We start from the raw sequence: 22,817 nt of genomic DNA, 5'->3' as shown, positions 1-22,817 counted from the left end.
GCTATGTTTCATGGTTAGACTGCCTGTGGACATAATTGTTTTTGGTTTTAGCAAAATTTAGCTGAGTTTGGTTTAAGATACAGCAATACCCCCTTCTCAGTTGAAATAGGAGAGTTAGCTTAAAGGATGTTTATGTCAGTAATTATATTTTTGGCTGTGAAGCACAGCAAAATGTTTAGGAAAATATACTTAGTAATTTCAAATCTTAATGTTTTATTTTTTTTCCTCCAGAAGTGTAGTATGGCTTTTTGCTTGCATCTTTGTTTTTATGTTTAATTACTTGAATTAGTGAAAGTCTTTGGCTTCACCAAATTGTTGTGTTATGTGTTCATTAAGGATGAAACACAGATACTCTTATGTCCAAATGAATTGTGGTATATTCAAAAGCTATGTAAAAGAAGATATATTTAATATAAGTTAAACTGATTTGGAAGGAAGGGTCTACTGTTTTACTTGTTACAAATGTTATGTGTGGAGAATTACTACAAGAAATAGTTTTCAAATATGAATGTGCTTAAGGTTTATTTAAGGTGATATGCTTTAATAAGCTTATTTCCCAGGTCTTATGGGAGATTCTGATTCTGATTAATTTTTAACACGTACCCAGATGTTTCTGCACACTGGGAGCGATGTTTCTGAAAAATACCCCAAATGGTGGGGAAAAAATAGTGCTACATACTTTTCTAAATTGATTATCTTACATCATTTGATATTTCATAGAACTAATCTTACTTACTGAAAACCTGATTAACTTGTTTATAACATCATGTTTTACTGGCAATAGAGATGGCTGTCATGGTGAAGAATCTTTTCCTTCAGAAGAGAAATGGACGGATACATTATTCATACCAACCAGGATCATGTGTTCCTTTATGAGTCTGCAGTGACTAGGTGATTGGGTCCTAGGTCATCCTAAATTTGTTATTTAGTGTTTTTAATTATTAGAGACATTGTAATTTACTTAAGATCAATAAAACTTATTAAACTGGATAGCATTATAGGTTACTCAGTGGAAGTAATTTCAAAGCATTTCCTAGCATTTGGCTAGAAAAGTCATTTTTATAATATCTTTACAGTGGTATATTTAAGTAGCTATATGAAGTTTGTTACTATGACATGATATCTTGATTGAATACTATGGCCTGTTTTTATATATTTGAGGCAAGTGTTAATATGATTTTACTGAAATCTTGTTACGTGTATTGCCTTCCTGATAATTAAGTTAATTGCTCAGAAATTATGACTTCTAATTATAGTGCAATTTTCAGTTTGACTCATAGGAAGAGAAATTGGACATTATTTTCATTTGAATCAAGAGACCAAAGGTAGAGAATTAAAAGGTGCCTTGTTTACTGATTTGAAAATATGCTTTGGAAGTCTTTGAAATTCATTTCCTACCCAGTTCCCTTCTCTGATTCTCATTTTAGGCTCATTTTCCTTTCATGAATACTAAGTTGGAATTCTGAAAGGTATTTTAATTGTGAAAACACAAGTAAATTGGAGGTGATTATAAAACATATTCAAATAGTTCACATTTTACTTCATTTTGATAGACTTCTTATATACTGTACACTTATATACTCTGACATCACTAATTTTCAACAATTTTATAATGTTTCCTGGGCCTGCTTATTTATGGCTTGGTCTTTTAGTCTGTAATGTCATTAAGTTAGTTTCCTGATTAGATTTTTAAGATCTGTTTAATTTCCTGCATTCTTCCTTCCTTGATTTCTTCATTTCCTCCTGATTCCACTTTCCCCAGTGTGGTTCATAACTCTCTTAGGGTTCCTGTCATGCTTTAAAAAAGCTATATAGTTATTATTTTAAGTGAATTACACAGTGCATTAGCAGATGACAAGGCTGATAGTTATCTTTTGTTAGATAGTGTTTTCATATCACTAGGTTCAGAGTCTACTTTTTGAATTATCAACTAGGGTTAAAGTAGGCTGAACTAATGATCTGGTTGTTGGAAAAGTCCTTCTGATGTTTTAGACAGTTTGTGCCTTTGCAGGATCTTGGTTCTTTACAGAGGAAGCCAGATGGCCCCTTAACTTTTGGCATTGCTTGGTAAACGGCAGACACTCAATAAACATGTGGATAAACATGTTTCCACCCTGAACATTTTTAGTAAGATCATTGGAAAAGTCAGTTTTCATTTAAAAATGTTTAACCTTGATCAGTATTCAAACACAAAGATTCTCCAGAAATAACTTAAAATTGTTAAACTGCAGAGTGGAAATTGTAAAGACACCTTTTACAAAGAATTTCTTGTCAGTTTTTAGTATTTGCATCTGCAAAGCTTGAGTTGTTAGCTAAGATCTGAAATAGATCTCCTGTATGTGATCATTGTATTTGTTGTTTGATAAAGTGGGGCTCTGAACACAGAATTCTTGCAGACTCTGTCAGCTTATAACTTGAAAAGTAGAGGTAAGGATATTATATGTTAGTAATAATTTGCACTGCAGATTTCCTTGAGTTCATACATGGTTTTGAATTATTGTCACCATGGTCAAATAGTACTTTGACATAAAAGAATTTTTTTTTTTTTAAACAGCCTGGCACATCCTTGACATTTGTTATTTTTTGTTTTTAATCCAAGTAATACCTTCCTTAGTCCTAGGTGTAGTATGAATAATATTTCATATATAATCTGGCCTAACTTTGGGGTTTACACCATTGTTATTGAAGATAACATATTTTCCTTTACCCACATGGATGAGTAATTCTTGGGGATTTATTGAACAAGAGGCTAGATGTGGAAAGAAGAAAAATTTTCAGCATCAGAAACAGATACTTAGAAGATTATCATAAATTCTTAGAAATTCTTAGAAAGAGATACCTGATTCACATATCTGTAGTTATTATTGAGTGGTGCATTAAGATTTTCACTTTTGTCCATATTATTTCCAGTGTTCCGTAGATAATATGGGAAATCATTTTCTCTTCTGTAACTTTTAAGGATCTCTTCTGGCTTTCTCCTCCTCTTTGTATTAAAGGAAATCTGGTTTATCTCTCATATGTTCACTTCCCTCATAACTTTTTACAATGAAGATTTCTTTTTCCTTGTCTCTCCCTCTCCTCTGTGGCCTTGAACCAACATTTCTTCCAAATCCCTTCCCCTCAGAGTCACTCCGGCTTGTGCTTGAATCCTGAGTTTTTAATTCTACTTATGTTAACTTTCTTTTGAGTTTGTTTTCTCATCTTCTAATGGAGAAAGTTGTACCTGTCGTGGGGTGGTATGTTATTTTCCTAAGGCTGCCATAACACATTACCACATGTTGGCTTAAAACATCAAGTTTATTTTCTCAGAATTATGGAGGCCAGAAGTCTGAAATTAAGGTGTTGGCAGGACAGTCCCTCTGGAGGCTCTGGGGAAAATCCTTCTGCGACTTCCAGCTTCAGGTGCCTGGTGGCCACATCACTGCCTCTGTCTTCACATTGCCTTCGTGTGTGTGTGTGTGTCTGTGTGTGTGTGTCTGTGAGAGTGTGTGAAATCTCTACCTTTCTCTTAGAAGAGTACTTGCCATTAGATTTAGGGTCCACCTGGGTAATCCAGGATGATCTCCTCATCTCAGAATCCTTAGCTTAATTGCATCTGGAAAGACCCCTTTCTGAGTGTCACATTCACAGGTTCTGGGAATTAGGGTGTGGGCATATCTTTTTGGGGATTTCCAGTCAGCCAACTCCAGGTGGTTGTAAGAATTAAAGGAAATATAATTGTGTATGTGTACTTAACATATATTTATATGTGGACTTCAGCTCAGTGCCTGACCAAACTCAGCACTTAGTAAATGTTAGTTCATCTTCTGCTCTTCAGAAACCTATGCCTGCCAAGATTCTATATCCCTGGACGATTTCGGCAGTCAGTGCTCAATTCTGAATGTTGCCTTCCACTTTGTCCCCCGTGTCCATCCTCGTTGCTGACCACCAGGATGTCTAGCTCTTGTCTTCTGCCCTCACTCCGCCTGGGCATGCCCTGGGTGTCAGCATAGCTGTGGCCTGCTCTCCCTTGCACCTCTCCAGACCACGCCTTCTTAACCTTCTGCTTCTGGAACTTTCTCACCTCTGTTAACAGTTATGTCTCATCCTCACAATGACTTCTCGTCCTTTCACTCTCCTTTGTTTTTTTTTAAACTCTCCATCTGCTTGACCCTTCCTAACTTCCGTTACTACCCATCTCCACTCAGGGCAGATTGTCATTCCCTGGGTGTGCACTGCCCCTGTGCACTTCAGCCTCTGCTTAAACTTTCCCACCAACAGAATGGTTTTTTCTCCTTCCTCTTGCTTCTTTTAGTGCCTGAAATTATTCACCCTTTCTTCTAGTTTTTTTCCACTCAGGCTGCTGACATGCTCAGGGCCCTGCTCTTCCAGAAAACCTTCCCTTGACCTTGCTAATCACTTATTTTCCTTTTCTGAAACTTGCTGCTTTCACTTTGTCAGTATCCACTGAAATCTTTACTATTTTCCTTTGGTTTCCACTGCTTCCTGAAGCTGCTGTCTTAAAGGCTTACAGTGATCTCCTGTAGGCTTTTTAAAGAGGCTAAATGGTGTGATGGTCAAGGGCTAGCTTGCTGGGGCCACACTGCTGGGATTTGAATTCTGGCTCCACCACTTACTAACAACTCTGTGACCTGTGGCAAGTTATGCAACTCCATGCTTCAATTTCTTTATCTGAAAAATGGGGATAATAATAGTACCTGCCTTATAGAATTGCTTGTGAGGATTACATAGGTTAGTATATGTAAAGTATGCTTGACAAAGAGAGTATGCTGAATTTTTTTAAGCTGTTGTTTTTAAGTCCTTCTCCTTAGCATCTGCAGCATTTCACGTGGTTTACCTCTCCCTCTTCTTTAGTCCATTAGCATTTTCACTGTGTTCAAGCTGAGATTAATTCACTTTGGGATCTTTTATCTTTGTGCTGCCTATTTGTGGTCTGTCTTCATACATCAGATCTTCACCTTCTTATCTCCTTTTTGGATAATTTTTCCTCTGGGAATTTATCACGATAGTTCCAGGTTTTACATTTATTGAATGTCTCCCCAAATGGTATTTCTAGCCCTCTTGTAGCTTCAGTCCTACATTTATAACTGCATCCCAGATTGCCTGACCAAGATCATCATCTCCCTCTCAAAATCATTTATTCACTAGACTTTTGTTAAGAGACCTGGGAACTGTGGCAGCATGTCATAGCAGCTAGGAACAGAGATATCAGGATCACAGGGATGCTGCGTTGGTGTCCTGCAAAGCCCAGGAAACAGTTCTAGATCCCTGCAGGCAGGCATGTTCTTCTTATCTTGAATCCTTACAGCACTGTTAGTGAGCAAAGCTGGATGTGGAAAGGGGCTGGGAGGCACAGTTTTATAGCAGATGTGTCCCTTAATTTTCTTAAGTGAAGAATTAGACAAGTTTGCCTCATAAACTCAGGATAGAATGCCTGGCCCAAAAGCTTTCATAAACTGTTGAAGATAGGTTTTATTCTTTCTATTTTTTAAATTTTTTTCTGATGTTGTTACCCTCTGGGAAGCAGAACTGGTAAAGAAGTTAGATTTATGTCTCACAATGCAGAGTCAAATAGAAAATGAATGAAATTAGAGAACACACAGCATGGTTTTAATTAAGCAGTGGTAGGTTTCCCTATTAGTTTTATGAAATGAGGGTTTCTTATAAATTGGAATAGATATTTTAGACAAGGATTTTCTCTACCTAAAGTCTTGCCAATAAGAAATTACATTTTATTTTTTGCAATCTATCCATCGGACAAAGGGCTAATATCCAGAATCTACAAAGAACTTGAATTTACAAGAAAAAAACCCCATCAAAAAATAGGCGAAGGATATGAACAGACACTTCTCAAAAGAAGATATTTATGCAGCCAACAGACATATGAAAAAATGCTCATCATCACTGGTCATTAGAGAAATGCAAATCAAAACCACAGTGAGATACCATCTCATGCCAGTTACAGTGGTGATCATTAAAAAGTCAGGAAACAACAGATGCTGGAGCTGTTGTGGAAAAATAGGAACACTTTTACACTGTTGGTGGGAGGGTAAATTAGTTCAACCATTGTGGAAGACAGTGTGGCAATTCCTCAAGGATCTAGAACTGGAAATACCGTGTGACCCAGCAATCTCATTACTGGGCATATACCCAAAGGATTATAAATCATTCTATGATAAAGACACATGCACACGTATGTTTATTGTGACACTGTTCACAATAGCAAAGACTTGGAACCAACCCAAATGTCTATCAGTGATAGACTGGATTAAGAAAATGTGGCACATACACACCATGGAATTATGCAGCCATAAAAAAGGATGAGTTCACGTCCTTTGCAGGGACATGGATGAAGCTGGAAACGATCATTCTCAGCAAACTATCACAAGATCAGAAAAACCAAACACTACGTGTTCTCATAAGTGGGAGTTGAACAATGAGAACACATGGACACAGGGTGGGGAACATCACACACTGGGGCCTCTCGGGGGTTGGGGGACTAGGGGAGGGATAACATTAGGAGAAATACCTAATGTAGGTGACGGGTTGATGGGTGCAGCAAACCACCATGGCATGTGTAAACCTATGTAACCTGCACATTCTGCACATGTACCCCAGAACTTAAAGTATAATAATAAAAAAAAGACATTACATTTTATACTACTACTAATAAGCAAGTTTTGGATTTGGGTTAACATAGTTTTATGTTTGGAAAGCAGACAATTGGAACCATTCTCATGCTGGTTTAGTGTGTCTTGCAACCCTGTGACATAGCACTTTCTTCCGGTTAACAGCCACTTTCTGTTTAAACACAGCTTCATTCCCTAATGGGTTTTGGTCTTTAGGGATTAAACCCATGAGGACCATTAACCTGAGGAATGTAACTCAATTAGCTGTAAATGATTTGGAATAAAGGAATAGATTTTCTATTTGGAGAAATTGGTGTGTTGCTTTTCTTAATTTTGGTCTTCATCTAATGAATAGTAAATGCACTCTTTTGGTAAATAATTCACCTTTGTTAGAGGTACCATAAAAAATCATTTTAAAGGCCTGGTGCGGTGGCTCACGCCTGTGATCCCACCACTTTGAGAGGCTGAGGCGGGCGGATTGCCTGAGCTCAGGAGTTCGAGACCAGCCTGGGCAACATGGAGAAACCCTGTCTCTACAAAAAATACAAAAAATTAGGTGGGCATAGTGGCAGGTGCCTGCAGTTCCAGCTACTTGTGAGACTGAGGTGGGAGGATCGCTTGAGCCCAGGAGGTGGAGGTTACGGAGAGCCAAGGTGGAGCTACCGCACTCCAACCTGGATGACAGAGTGAGACCCTGTCTCAAAAAAAAAAAAAAGATCATCATTTTTAACAGTTTTGTTACCTACAAGTTGTATAATTTAAAAAGTTGTTTCCAGGAAACATAATAATGCATATAATGCTTCTACTTAGCATCTCATTTCTTAGGCCAGGGTCAGTCCTGGAAGTACAAGTTTTTTGCCTTAGGCTGAGTTCTAGTACTTTGTGGCAGGTTTTCTTTTCACAGTTTGGTGTAGCACAAATATAAGATGTTTATATTACTGACAACAAATTTCATATGTAACTTTAGGATTAAATAATCCAAGGTGCTGCAAACCAGGTGTCATTAGTAATCTATGTGATGCTGCCCCACCCAGATAATTTCAGTTGAACTTTGGGTCTTCACTTAGGCGGAGTTGTTAATGTTAGCTTGTCTTCTATTGAACATTTTCCTGCATTTTTGGTTGGCTGTTCTTTTAGTTTTCTTTTTTCTCTTCGTCTCTTTTCTTCCATGTTTTTGTAGTTACCAAAGATGAATTTGTTGCTGTAGATACTTTCATTATGAAAAAATTAATATGGATTAAGAAATTAGAAAAAAGTCTATACAAGAATAAGATCAGGAACTAATACATTTAAAAATAGAGGAAAAAAGAATTGAGATATTCAAGACAGATTATTTAAGTATAAGCAATGGAATACACAAATATGACAAGTCTTATAAAAATAAAAGGGAGTGCTTGCTCTGGCAGCAAATATACAAAAATGGGAACAATACAGAGATTAACATGGCCCCTGCACAAGGATGACATGTTTATTTTCAAATTTAAATACAAAAGGGGAGAAAACAATTAAAAATCAAAAGTAGAAGAGATTCGAAAATTACGTAAGTTATGCACAGCTTTACCTAATTTGAATATCTCAATGAAACTTTGAATCTCTGGGACAAAATACTCCAAATTGTATCAAGAATAAATAGAAACTGAAATACACCTAATACAATTTCTGGCAGAGGGCAGGCATTCAACAAATCAACAAACTGATACATGGACAGAGAGGAATTGGAACAGGTGTCTGATTACAACTTTTTTTTTTTTTTTTTTGACACAGGGTCTCACTCTGTCACCCAGGCTAGAGTGCAGTGGCGCAGTCCTGGCTCGGCTCACTGTAACCTCTGCCTCCTGGGTTCAAGTGATTCTCCTGCCTCAGCCTCCCGAGTAGCTGGGGTTACAGGCGTGCGCCACCACGCCTGGCTAGTTTTTTTTTTTTTTGTATTTTTTTAGTAGAGACGGCATTTCACCATGTTGGCCAGGCTGGTCTCAAACTCCTGACCTCAAGAGATCGCCTGTATTGGCCTTCCAAAATGCTGGGATTACAGGCATGAGCCACCACGCCCGGCCAGATTACAACTTTTAGATGACTTTTTATGAGAAGTCAATTCAAACTTTTAAGGGCTTAATATCTGCCACACTATATCAGTTGTTGCAGAGTTAAGAAAATGACAGCAATGTGTACAGTCTATTTTATGAAACTAACATTAAGAACAAAAACATAGATGGCAAAAAACCCACAAACCTTACTTATGAATATATATTTAAATTGTGTGAATAAGTTTTTCCCCCATATGGTCTATTTATTTTAAATAATTTCAACTTTTATTTTAGATTCAGGGCATACATGTGCAACTTTGTTACATGGGTATATTGCATGATGCAGAGGTTTGGAGTATGATTGATCCTGCCACCTAGGTAGTGAGCATAGTACCCAATAGGTAGTTTTAAACTTCTGCCCCGCTTTGTCCCTCCCTCTTGTAGTAGTCCCCAGTTTCTGTTGCTGGCCATCTTTTGTTCATGAGTACCCAGTGTCTAGCTCCCACTTACAAGTGAGAACATGCGGTATTTGGTTTTCTGTGCCTGTGTTAATTCGCTAGGATAATGGCCTGCAGCTGCATCCATGTTGTTGCAAAGCATATGATTTTGTTCTTTTTTATGACTGTGTTCTTCATTCTTTTTTTTTTTTTTTGAGATGGAGTCTTGCTCCCTCGCCCAGGCTGGAGTGCAGTGGCGCAGTCTCGGCTCACTGCAACCTCTGTCTCCAGGGTTCAAGCCATTCTCCTGCCTCAGCCTCCTGAGTAGCTGGGGTTACAGGCTTGCACCACCATGTCCAGCTGATTTTTTTGTATTTTTAGTAGAGATGGGGTTTCACCATGTTGGCCAGGATGGTCTCGATCTGTTGACCTCATGATCCAACCGCCTCGGCCTCCCAGGAATTACAGGCGTGAGTCTTCATTCTTTTAAAGTCCACTTAAGTACAAAAATGTAGTCAAAATGTGTTGTATTTGTAAACTAGTATAGTAAATTCAGGTGTAGGCAAGTTAAATCTAATTATAAGACTACTTTCTAGAAAGCCTGTAGACATGCTTTTAAAAAAGGTATCTGTAAAGCTTATGTGAAACCTGGATTTCTGTTTGTCTCTTTTTTCTGGAGGTGAAAGAAAAGTTTTATTTTACTCTGCTTTTCTAGTAGTTTAATTTATGCTCTCTTCATATGTACTTTGAGCAAGTTCACATTTACATAAAAAGTGGGAAAGAAGGTAGTAAACATTAAATTTCTCTCATCCCTCTATTCCATCTTGAGAAACTGGAGCAGCACTTAGAAAATTAGTCAGCATTCCTAATTTTTTTCATTCAGCATTCATCTTTGGAGAGTGTCATTACTGTATTCAGAGACAGCTTATCTTAAAATTGAGTCATTCACTGAGGCTTGCAGTTTCTTGGTTTTTGCCATGATAGTGAGCCTCTGCCTCTCATCTGAATGGAGTTTATGATTTTTTAGCTTTGTGTTTAGAGACTTTAAAGAAGAATGCACTACTTGCACACCTGCCTTGTGAAAACGAGGAAACTGAGATCCAAGGAGCTGTACAAAGTTATGCACAGCACTAACAGAATTGGGACCAGGAAAGGAGTTTCTGACTTAGTTCTGTGCCTCTGGGGAGTCTGGACATCTCAAAAGTTAGGGATTTTTGCGATAAAGCTTTGTCAATTTACCAGTTTCTCCCAGCAGAAGAAATTTGGGTCCTATTTTTGAAGCACTTATTGTGAATAATTAAATTGAGCTGCTTTAAAAATACACATTGATTTTGATTTTATTTGCTTTTACCATCCTGGTAGAAAGATTTGTGATTGAAAGGGAGTGTAAAAGTTTAATTAACTCTTAGAAATGACCCAAACAGATACTGATCCTAGATCACCCCTCCCCGCAAACACATCAAGAATTTTCAGGACCATTGCAAGATCTTTATTCCTACTAGATATTATGGGATTTATAAGGAATCCTAGCTTTTGTGAAGTTTTTGGTAGGAAATTAATATATAATTAGAGAAACTGAATTTTGTAACTGTAGGATTGAGCATCTGTAATAAAATGCCTTTTTGAAATTTCTAAGTATATTTTATAGTAGAAAATCACAGATGTGGGGGTTCATTATAATATTTTAGTTTGTTCAGTTAGTTTCATTCTATTTGATAGGTGGGTATTTCAACTTTTTTTTTGTTTTTATTCTTAAAAAATCAGTTTGTTTTTGTCAGTTTTTATAGTAGGCAATATTTTATATTTCTGTTTTGCGTTTGGACGTGCTGATTGAGTCAGTTTATGTTTATTGGGCACTTCCCCAATTCTGAATATTATTTTATTAAATAAAAAAAAGCTTACTGTGTTATGACATTCTTTCTCTATTTTTCTTTTATAGCCAACACATATCTCTTTATGGTACAAGCTCGAGGTATAATGTTGAGAGAAAATGTGAAAACAATAGGTCATATGATCAGGCTGTACACAAATAAAAACAGTACGCTCAACGGTACAGGTAAGACTACTTCCTGCTTAACCCCTTGTAGTTACAAAGCAGTAAACCAAATCTTTTACAGTCTGTTTTGCCTTCAGGTAACTTCCTGTTAAAGATGAAGAAGGTATCTTCCCCTAAGCGTCCTGGTAGATTATTTTACTGTGCAAATCAAGACTGTTACCTATTTTAGGATGTATGAACGTGTGGTCACAAAAGTGATGAGGTTTTGTACAGACACTTAAGTTAATTCTTGTAAACAAAATATAGAAAGCAGCTTCTACTTTTTCAATTCGTATGTTGTATTTAAGAGAAATTAACCAGAGAATAATTTATTCATCTTAGTAAGCCATACTACCATCTCTCTTTATGTTCATTCTAGTTCCTAAGTTGTTCTTCCAACTAGGTCTAGAAAATAGTTGTTTTTAATTATAGAAGATTGTTAATAGTGTTATGGCCTTTTTAAGGAGCTAAAGGAGAAATTTTATAAAATTGGAAATTGGTAGCTACTCCTTTTTATTTTACTTATTTATTTTTTTAGACAGAGTCTCGCTCTGTTGCCCAGGCTGGAGTGCAGTGGCGCAATCTTGGCTCACTGCAAGCTCCATCTACCAGGTTCACGCCATTCTCACGCCTCAGTCTCCCAAGTAGCTGGGATTACAGGCGCCCATCACCACGCCCGGCTAATTTTTTTTTAAATTTTTGATAGAGACGGGGTTTCACCATGTTAGCCAAGATGGTCTCAATCTCTTGACCTCGTGATACGCCCGCTTCAGCCTCCGAAAGTGCTGGGATTACAGGCATGAGCCACTGTGCCCGGCCTACTCTTGTCTTTTTAAAATGTTACCTGGAAGTAGAAGCTCCATTAGAATTCCAGGAGGTTAAAATCTAATAGGCTGAACCAATAATTTAATGATGGTAGAATTGATGTAAATAGATTTCACTATTGTGGAAGAATGTGAATGCTCGTTTATGGCAGGGTTGCCACAGTGTCTGCCAGGGTATTATTAGGTGTTACTTTAAAGGATTCAGTGGGGTTGTCAGTTGTTGTACCCTTTATGGTCTCATTTTGAACAGTTAAAAATAAAGATTTAATTTGTGTTAGTAATTCTTCCTTGTGTCACTGTAAACCTACACATTCTACTAAGAGAAAGTCTGTCTTTCAGCTGTAGATGTTCTTTCTTAAATGTATGTCAAGGTGGGTGATAGTTTTAGACCCTTCTAAAAATTCAAGACTGTGACATATTGATCTCAATTTAATATCACATGTGCTTCTATAAAATCCATTCTAGTCATTTGCCTAATATGTTTATGATGCCACAAATCAAAACACTCTTGTTTTATTTTAATTTTTTAACCTTGAAGGAATTTTTTTAGAAGAACTGCCTCAGCATAGTTGATGTTTTAATTCTACAGTAAAAGTCTCATTAACTATTCTTTAGCATGAATGAGTCTTCTGAATAGTAGGTCAATTTTAGAAGTTTAAACATTTTAAAAGCTTCTGTAGGATTTGTGCTGGTTGAATAAGTTGATTGTAAAAATGTTCACTGAAAGTTTGTTCAACTGAAAGGAAATAGACATCTTTAAATTGGTGTATTTGTGTGAGTGCTAAAAATTTGTGCATATCAGCTTGTTTTCCCTGGGGTATGAATAAGGTATATGTGTGGATGTTGAGCTTGATTAGGAGGAATGATTACATGGGCAAGACAATCTTTCCCCATAGTATCCTGCAACCAAAAAAAAAAAAAAAGGAAAATCCTTTCCTCCTCTCACCAAGTCATAGTTTCAATAAAGACCAAAGAACCAATGCATACTTAGATTAAAGTTTGCTTACTTTTATGAAACTTTGAAAACTTTTCATAGGGTTCCTTTACTAATGGTAAAACTGTTCTCAGGAAACAGTCATTGTATACATTAGGGATTAGGTTTGGATGTAACAGAGACCTGCCTGTGGTGGTTTAAACACATGAGGCTTTCTGTTCTCATGTGAAAGAACTCTGCAAGTTGGATATCTGTGGCTGTTATGGAGGCTCCTTAAAGTAAGTCATCACACACTTTTCATTTTCTGCCATCTGTCATGTGGCTCCATGGTTAACTCATAGTCTAAGATGGCTGCTGTTTGAACTTGGGTCAGTAGGAAGGAGGAAAGCGAGAACAAAGAAGAACAAATAAGGTACCTCTTTTCTGGAGCCTTCCCAGAGGTCCCACACAGTATTTCTTCATACATTTAATTGGCTAGAACTTAATTGCATGGCCACATGCGATAACACTGGGAAATATAGTCTTGACCAGAGTATGCTGGAACTCTAGTGAAACTGGCATTCTGTTACCTACGGGGAAAGGGAAGAATGGAGTTTGAGTCAGCAATGAGGCTCCGCCATGTTCATTTAGCCAACATTTACGAATAATTATTATAGTTAGTATATTTAACCAGATATTGGAGACACAATATTAAGAAAAACAGTCTCCTTTAATATGAGGATCTCTAGGCCTCTGGGAGAGATGGAAACATGAATAGTTATTTATAATGCAACTGGTTATTTCTACATAGACTTCTATAGATACAATATCCAAAAAAGAAGATAATGGCCTATAAGGTGTACAAAAAGCTAACTGAGCTCTAGAGGGGAATTGATTAATATGCAGTGGCTCATTTATAATTTAACACTAAATGATAAATAGATTGTGATAGTTATAAGCACATTTGATTTCCAAAAGGGGTTTTTAATCCTATACCTGACTTTCTGTGGCATCAAATATAAATAGATGTATACTATTTTTGTAAATAAATTATATACTCTCATAATCAGATGGTGCCATGTAGCCCACAGAGCCAAATTATGAAAACAAGACGTATTCAGTGAATTCATCTAATTACTGAAGCAGATAAGGGCCATGCAATGTTAGAGTGGATAGGTTTGTTGGAAATAACCCAGCATGCCTCCTCATTTGATGGGTACATGAATTGAGGCCCCCAGACACTGCCAGACTGACAAGACAAGTTAGTGGGAAACAGACTAGGACTCTCATCGGTTTCTAACACCTGTTTTAAGCTGCTGTTTCGCAGCAAAATAAAGCCATTAAAAGGTGTTCTTTGGTGCTGTCCTCCTTTTCCTTTAAGTGATAAGGTCCAGTGAGAATTAGTAGGGGATCCATCTGGCAGTTTTCATTCTTTGTTTGCCTTTTCTTTGGTTGTGTTTCTGGAAGGGAGGAAGAAAGCAGGGGGCCCAGAGCTCATTTTATTTTTATCCATTCATTAGATGAAATAATGTCTACCTTTTATAGCAGTTGTGGTGGTTCCCAAATGCATCTGTCATACATAACCTTTTAAAATGCTTCCTGACTTTGAAAGCAGTGGTTATACATGATGGACATTGCTCACCTAACAACTTTTGTAGGAATAATGATTTTGTGGGTTTTTTTGTTTTTGTTTTTTTTTGAGACAGAGTCTCGCTCTGTCGCCCAGGCTGAAGTGCAGTGGTATGATCTCAGCTCACTGCAAGCTCCGCCTCCTGGGTTCAGGCCATTCTCCTGCCTCCACCTCCCAAGTAGGTGGGACTACAGGCGCCCGCCACCATGCCTGGCTAATTTTTTGTATTTTTAGTAGAGACGGGGTTTCACCGTGTTAGCCAGGATGGTCTTGATCTCCTGACCTTGTGGTCCACCCTTTTGGCCTCCCAAAGTGCTGGGATTACAGGCATGAGCCACTACGCCCAGCCAATTTTGTGGGTTTATTACAGTAAAATCTCCAAAAGCTTAAATCATTATTGGCTGTATTATCATTTGTGAGGTGTTTATTTATAGTATGTTCCTACTATGTTGTAGGTACTATTATTAGGTGCTAGAAATCAAAGATAATTTGATTTCAATTAAAAGAGATATTCAGAATAATGGCCGGGGTGGCGGATAGACTATATACACATAATACATTGGGAAGACACAAATACCACCGGACAGAGTACTGAAGGAGTGTGGAGGTGTTTCTCTAAGTCTGGCAGTGAGTTGAGCTCCTTAGGAGGTGGCCAAGAATAGCAGATGTTTAGCTCTAAAACTTTGTATTCAATGAAGTGAATATAATGATATTGCGTAACTTGAAGGCACTTAAATGTGGTTCTTTAAAAACTGATAAAAGTGATGGAATGTTTACTCTTGTGATTCAGTCATTCTAGCACTAAAATAAAAAGTAGAACAATTCTCTCTGGCCCTCCTGTTGCCATCTGACTCCCCAGAAGGAGTTAATAGTTTGTTTTGCAGAAATGTCTAGAGAGCCGAGCACTTCTGTGAGTTGGATGTGGGTTCAGAGAATCATAGCATGTGGCTAAGAGAAGGAGCCCAAGCATTAATGATGAAATTAATAAATTATGCAGAGTAAGGAAATACTCTTATTTAAAGTTAATGCATGACATTAACAAAAGGATTGAATGAAAATGTAGATATTTTTCTGCCTCAGGATTATAAGAAAATGAGCCTTGTAACGTCTCAAGGCAGATGACCCCCAGGGACAAACTTACTTTTTTTTCTTTTGTATTTTAAAATATTGTTATATCATAGTTGTACATCCAAGGACAACCTTATTTATTGTCTCATTCCTGTGAATGTGTAGTGTATAGTATGTCCTTAGTAAAAATTGAAGAGATTCAGAAAAATTATCATCTCTATATAGCTAGCCCATCTTTTTTTCTGGTGGTATGTGCAACAAAAGCTATAATATGAACTCTGTGTGTGTGTGTGTGAGAGAGAGCGAGAGCGCACACTAGCTAATTAATGAAGAACTTGCCATTCAATATTTATTGTTTTAACTGCTCATTTATTCATATTCTTGCATTTTTAAGTAGAACTTTTTATATTTTAATAGTAGAAAAGGGTATAATGTAATAACAGTCTCCTAGCTCACTCCTCCCTGAGTCCCAATCCTCAGAGAACTAACAATTTATTCTGTATTTATCTTTATGTTTCTATCCTGCTGTCTCTTGATTTATCAATTTAAACTACTCTTGTTATGGAAGAAAGACATTTAGTATTATAGTCTCACCCCAATTTTTCCTATCCTTATCCCCAATATAATTATGTCACAATTTAAATTCAAATCGGTATTGTTGATGTTGTTAAGAGAATGTAGATAATGGTTTGTTTTCCTGAGTCTAGTTGTGATTGTTCGTTTTGTAGATCTGTTTATTTTTGTTGATGTTACTTGTTAACTCTTTTTCCCCCCAATTTGCAGAGCCGTCTTAATCTATCGCTGATTTTCCCTTAGGCACATGAGTTGACCACGCTAAGGGGGGGTTTCCAAAATTCCCATGCCATTGTCTTCTCTCTTCCAGTGCTGCTTTTGAGAAGTCTGTTGACCATCCTGATGGCAGTTACTGTTCATGGACCAGTTTTTTCTGGAGACTTTTGGGATCTTTTTGTATTTTTAAATTTTACAAAGAGCATCTTGGAGCTTTGTTTTTCTTCTCTTGCTGGGAGCAGTCCTATCAGTATGGAATATCTTACCCTTCATTTCTCCAAAATATTTTTATATTATTTCTTTGATAATTTGTCTTCCTATTATTTTCCTTTCTTTTTGGAACTCCTATTATGTATTATTTCTCTCTCGTTTTTCAATTCTTTTTCTTTCCTTTCTATCTTTCTGGGAGATTGCTCTGACTTTACTACAATGCTTTGATTTGATTTTTTAAATTTTGGCAAACTTATTTTTAAGAATTCTTTTTTTTTTCTTTTCTTACTGTTACTGTCTCCCTCAAATAAGAATGCCTTATCTTCCTTTCCAGGAATATTGAAGATAAATAAGTAACTCTAAGGTGTAAATCAATGAACTTGACTAGACACTGTCACAAAACTCATAACAATAGTAATCTTAAGCAGTTTTGGTGGGAGTGACAGAAACCCAATTCATGCTTATTGCACTTGCTGCTACCACTAGCAAGGTAGGAGTCCCCATAGAGAGAGAAGCCCTTTTTTTAAAAACAAAAACAAAAAGAAAAAAACAAGAATTTTGGTATATATGTAGATATATATATTTAAAGAATCAGGCCAGGCATGGTGGCTCACGCCTGTAATCCCAGCACTTTGGGAGGTTGAGGTGGGAGGATTGCTTGAGCCGAGGAGTTGGAGACCAGCCTGGCAAGACCCTGTCTCTACAAAAAATACAAAATTAGCTGGGTGTGGTGGTGCATGATTGTAGTTCCAGCTATTAATAGTTGGGAGGCTGAGCTAGGAGGATCACTTGAGCCCAGGAAGTCAATGCTGCAGTGAGCTATTATCATGCCACTGCACTCCAGCCTATGTGACACAGCAAGATCCTGTCTCAAAAAAAAAAAAAAAAAAAAAGGAAAAGAATCAGAACTTTATTGGACTTCCTTACACTTGCTTTTGCTTGGTATCTTTAAATCTTTTAGACATATGGGGAATACATTGAGCATGGGCTACCAGTGTAGTGTCTGTGGTCTTGGGGTGTCACTGGGCATACAAAACAATTAATGTTCACTGAATTTCTCCTCCCCTTGTTATTTGGAAGATTTTCCTTGTCAGACACTTTCCAGCACTCGCCCAGGGAGAGTGGGGAGGATTGTCTCATTGGGGCTTTCCCACTTCCTGGTAGGATAGGCCTTAGCAGTTGTACCATCATTGATCTCTACTATGTTGGGGTTTTCTGGGAATGCATTTACCTTAACACCTTACTGATGCCCTGTGAAATTTGTAACTGGGGTTTCCAAGCACTTCTTTGGAATTGGACCTTCTCTTGTGGCTTCTGTTTCCTCCTTGATACCCAGCCTGGAACCTTTGCCCGTCCCAACACCCTCTGCTTAGCAGCCGTGGCAGGGCCTCTTTCATTCAGCAGTCTTGCAGGTGGCGTGAGTCTCTGCCCTGAAGTACTGTCCTGACTCCTAGGCAGCATCCCCACCAACTCCATTGTGACAATGACTGAATATTGATGTTAGGTAAAGGTGTGCAATGGAGGTGCTTAGTTTTCTTTGGCTCCTCTCACATACTTCCTATCTAATTCGCAGGATTCTCTCATTTCCCTATGGTCAGAGGGTTTAGCTTCTACATTGTCTCTCATTGGAGCAGATTACTCAACATTCAAAGAATATCTTCACATTTTCCTAAAGTGTCTGCTAGAGTTTCACTTTCTGTAGTACATTGTTTGTGATCCAGGAGACAGACGGTAGTTTAATGAGCTGTTTCCGTCTCTCATTTCACTCATTGCATGTTGATGTCATTCTCTTAGGCCAGCTTCCCTACATAGCAGGAAACCTGTGTGTCATGGTTTCTAGATTTGCGTCTCAGAACTTTGCTCCAGAAAGGGACTGAAATGTGATCTCTCTGGTTCCACATTCAAAAATCCTGAGCCTGTGACTGTCTCGTGGGTCAGGTGCTCATCTCTAATCGCTCATAGCTACAGTTATTAGCTATTTCTATGGGCCAGGGATTGTTCTCAGCACCTTACACATTTTGTCTTATTGAAGTTTAAAAATGACAGTATGAAGTAGGCATAGATGGCAAGCTACATCGTGTCCTGCCCTGTATCACACAGCTACAGTGTGTTGGAGCAAGGATTTGAACTCAGGCATTTGACTTTGGTGCCCTGTATGCAGTTTAATTTGCTGACTCTAAAGATAATGGACCTAATGTAATAATAGCTCCAGGGCTCCCCCGGGGCTGCAGCCCACAGGCTGGGAATGACTAACTTAAAGGTTTAGAATGAGCTGTATTACAAAAGTAAGTTGAGTGGGTAAATCTCAGTTTCTACAGTGTGAGGTGGTAAGAAAACATTACTCCCACCCCTCTGCTCTGTGGATGCTAGTAGCAGCACGCAGCGGTTTGGAACACCCCTGGCTGTGCCATAGTGGAGGGGATTCCCTGGTGTACTTTCACACTCCCTGTAGATCGGGCTCAGCCAGGGGAGGGACGGGAGCAGGTGTTCTCACATGGTTGCAAGTGGGACTGCCATGTCTGTGTGCAAGGATAAGGGTGTGCTGCTCTCTAGATGTCTCTTGGGAAATCATGCTGAGAGGTCTGTTCCCCGCAGCAGTTTGCTGTTCTCTAGTTCCTTAAAGATAATTGATTTTAAGTACTTCTGTAGATTGTATATTGTAGTTTTCTCCCAGTGATAGTGACGTATTTCATTCCAGGGAGAAAGCAAAAGGCCTTTTTTTTTTTTTTGTAACTCTTTTCTCTCTTTCCAAGATTATCCCGAAGGCAATAATTCAAGTGATTATCTTGTTCAAACAACAACGTATCTCCCGGAAAACTTCACATACTCACCATACCTCCCCTGTCCAGAAAAGCTGCCTTATATGCGTAAGTCGTCATCTAATTTTGACTTAACTGTTTACTTGTGTTACAATACAGTCATAAAAACCACATGATTTGAGTGCAGCAGGAGCAGGTCATGTGCACCTGGGTGCAAATGTTTATATTATGCAGCATGTTATTTGAACTTTTATTTATTTATTTATTTTTTGGCAAAGCGCATTTTGAAGGGGGATGATTGAAAAGCTGAAGAAAAATACAAAGGGGGAAAATGACAAATACCCATATTGTTCCCAACCAGTTTTAAAAACTAATACTTCGGCTTACCTATGTCCAAGTTCTTTTAAAACAGTGCTTAAGAGAGCAATTAATGTGTAGTCTCCTTTTGAATATGTTATAATGTTCCTGATTAAGCCAGTCCTTTTTGACCACCATCCCCAGTGCTGGCTCCCCATTCCTTCCTCAGAAGTAACCTCACCTCTACTGAGAGTTTGCTGAGTATTCTTTCCGGTTATGAAAATTGTTTTCTACATAGATAGATGTCTGTATAGAAAATAGATATTGTTTCAAAGGAGAAATTATGTAAATTGGTCTATAAAGTACATTTCATTCTTGTAACTTGCTTTTTTACATACTTTTTTGAGAACTACCCATGTTGTTACATATAGATCTAATTTTTTTCCCTTAACTATTACTGTGTGGTACGTCTTTGTATAAATGTATCACATCTCATTTACCTGTTTCCCCACTGATGAACATTTAGGTGGTTTCAACATTTTTGCTATCACAAAATAGCAAAAAAAATATATATATATATTTTGGTATAAAGAACAACAGAGTGTGAGTTTTCCTGTGCGTATATGCATGTGTACTTGAGGGTTGATGGCTAGTGGTGGAATTGCTGGGTAGGTTGGCTCAGGTTTTCCAGATTTTGTCAATTGCTCTCAAAAGCAGCTATACCAATTTATATCCCTAACAGCAAAGCATGAATGTACCACTTTGATATTGATGGACTTTTAAATTCTTGCTAATCTGAAAGATAAATGGTTTCTCGTTGTTTCGATTTTCACTTCCCTCATTCCTGGTGGGTTTGAGTAAGTTTTCCTATGTTTGTGTTTTTAAATTTTCTCTCCTGTGACTTGCTGCATCATGGGCTTTATCAGTTCCTGGTTGGTTATTGTGTGTTGGTATTGATCTGTAGAAATTCTTTATATTCTGGCAGTGGCCTGTTGTCTGCTATGTGTTTTGTAAGTATCTTTTCACATTCCCAGGCTTCTTGTTTTGTCTTTTATTTTATGGAAGTTTAAAATTATGACCTTTTCAAATTTTTTAATAACTTTACTTAGGTGTTTTGCTTTTTTTTGGTCTTAAACCTTTTCTTACCCAGAGGCCATACAGATAAATACCTTTATTTCCTTCTAATGATTTTACTATTTTGTTTTTAACCTTTGTGTGTAATATGTGGTAGTGATAAAGCTACTGTACTTTAAATATATATATTTTTAATTATGAAGATAATACATTATCATTATTTTAAAAAAAACACTATACTGTACTGTCAACACTCAGAAGCCACACGGCTATTATTTTAGCTTTTTTTTGTGTGTGTATCTTCTACCCCTGCCCCATGATTTTTAAGCCTACTTTGTACATATAGGTTTGTATCTTGGATTTGATATAAAGATTTAAATAAACATCTTTTTGAATTGCTTATTTATCCATATTCTGATGTATTTTGTATCTGTGTTTTTTATTCTTGACACGAGCTTTTTTAATTGAGGAAATTAGCCTTTGCCTATCATATTTGTAGGACTTGTTTTAGCTTATTGTTGATAGATATTATATATCAATAATAAAAAGAAAGATTGACCTTCTAATATCATCTAAGGCCATGGCTTTCAGTCTTGGGGGTACATCAGAATCACCCAGATCATCTTGTCAAGCCCCATTGCTGGTCCAGCTCTCAAGAGTTTCAGACTCAGCAGGTCTGGAGCGGGCCTGAGAATCTGCATTTCTAACAAATCCCGCAAGGTGATGCTGTTGCCGCTGAGCCTTGGGCCACGTATTGAGACCCACTGATCTAGAGTAGTGGGCCTGGTCCCTGGTATTTAAGAAAAAAAAAATTCTCAGGTGATTCTAATCTTGCTGTCTCTTTGCTGTACCATAATAAAGAATGGAACTCAGTGATTTTTGTGGTTGTCATTACTTTGTTATTGCAGCCTTGTTTTCCTAAAAATGAATACTTTTGTCTGTGTAATACTGAAACCACTGGGTAATGTTCTGTTGAAATATTGATTACAATAATTTCATCTTCATAATTTTCATATTCAAGGTTTATAGTTTCAGGAAATCTTTCTGTTCTTGGTTTAGTTGCCATTTTCTTTAATTAGTGCTTTATGAGTACTAATTAAACTCTATTTCAAAGCATCTGTCTGCCACTTCATCATTCTGGTACTCCTCTCCTCCCGCCCCACAGCCCATTGTACCATCTCTTGTGGTGCCTGAGAGATTGCGTCGTGCGTGGCTGCTGTGCACTGCCTTTTCACTGGGGGTGGGGAGGGGTCTCAGCACTACTGCCCCTTCTCTCTGCTTCCCTGGGATCCTTGCATTCTTTTATAAGAGAGGATCACACTAGTGTGGCCAGCCATCTTTTCACAGCAGTCCCTCTCATGGGCTGCCAACTTTGGGTCCTGTCCCAATTTTGTGCCCAATTAGTGGTGGCCGTGGTGGCCATGGTGGCAAGGTGATTTGGTAGAAAATACAGCCACATACAGATAAGGCTTTAGAAAGGAGCCATGGGTACAGCCAACATAACGAGGCTTCTGCCAAGAGAGCCTTGCACGAGCTGCCCGACAGAGCACTTCACTTGTCCTGTGACCTCCGCAAAGTGGAGGCTTAGTTTACCTACCTGTAAAACCTGGGATTCCAATACCATCTGCAGAGTGTGGTAAGGATAGAATGAAGCACACAGTGCTTAAAGTTTGATAGGTATTAATTTGATTCTCCCTTTCCTTCTCCCTCCTTCTTTGAATAATAGAGCCAGACTTTACAATGGTCAAGGAAATGAGACACCTAGGAGAAATGTGTGGAGTTTAGAAGTTTTATTATTAGCTATGTATCCTTACATTTTTTTACTTAAAAAGATAGTTTTCATTGATAATAGAGAACAATGCAATAAAATACATAAGTATAAAATCTTATAATAGTTACACAAAATAATTGAATATGATTCTTTCCCAAATAATAATTAGAAGGGATTTGTGTAAGAATTAGATCTACTTAGATGAAAACCATTCAAGTACAAGTAATATTTACTTATAGTCACTAAAAGTGAAGTTAAGGCTTAACACTGGTGTATTTGATTATTCTGTTGTAAACTTCTTTGATTTTTACTTAGTATAGCAATGGAAACACTGGCACTGGATTTCTGTAAAGATAA

The 22,817-nt window shown here is 37.7% G+C and overlaps 1 protein-coding gene and 1 pseudogene across 10 annotated transcripts in view, besides 2 other annotated features; both read left to right on the top strand.

Annotated features, from left to right (window-relative positions):
• The window catches only part of B4GALT6 (beta-1,4-galactosyltransferase 6), a 102,396-nt gene that overhangs the window by 47,240 nt on the left and 32,339 nt on the right, over nucleotides 1-22,817 (top strand). For 4 of the 10 annotated variants that reach the window (XM_005258387.5, NM_001378110.1, NM_001378109.1 and 1 more), the window contains exons 2-3: nucleotides 11,030-11,146; nucleotides 19,313-19,426. In XM_005258387.5, coding sequence (XP_005258444.1) covers nucleotides 11,030-11,146; nucleotides 19,313-19,426 — 231 coding nt within the window. The other 6 variants (XM_047437943.1, XM_006722578.4, XM_017026091.2 and 3 more) reach the window with 4 other exon arrangements.
• Nucleotides 8,024-8,113, top strand: LOC124904361 (uncharacterized; annotated as a pseudogene).
• Nucleotides 17,869-18,028: an enhancer, noted in NCBI's record as "active region_13204". NCBI's record gives its function as "activates an Ori minimal core promoter by ATAC-STARR-seq in GM12878 lymphoblastoid cells {active_cell/tissue: GM12878}" and the evidence as "EXISTENCE:reporter gene assay evidence [ECO:0000049][PMID:35858748]".
• Nucleotides 18,529-18,658: an enhancer, noted in NCBI's record as "active region_13203". NCBI's record gives its function as "activates an Ori minimal core promoter by ATAC-STARR-seq in GM12878 lymphoblastoid cells {active_cell/tissue: GM12878}" and the evidence as "EXISTENCE:reporter gene assay evidence [ECO:0000049][PMID:35858748]".

The sequence above is a fragment of the Homo sapiens genome, chromosome 18 (genome assembly GCF_000001405.40).
Source record: "Homo sapiens chromosome 18, GRCh38.p14 Primary Assembly".
Classification (NCBI taxonomy): Eukaryota; Metazoa; Chordata; class Mammalia; order Primates; family Hominidae; genus Homo; species Homo sapiens.
The sequence above is the reverse complement of the archived record's forward strand: the minus strand, read 5'-3'. Positions and strand labels throughout refer to the sequence as shown.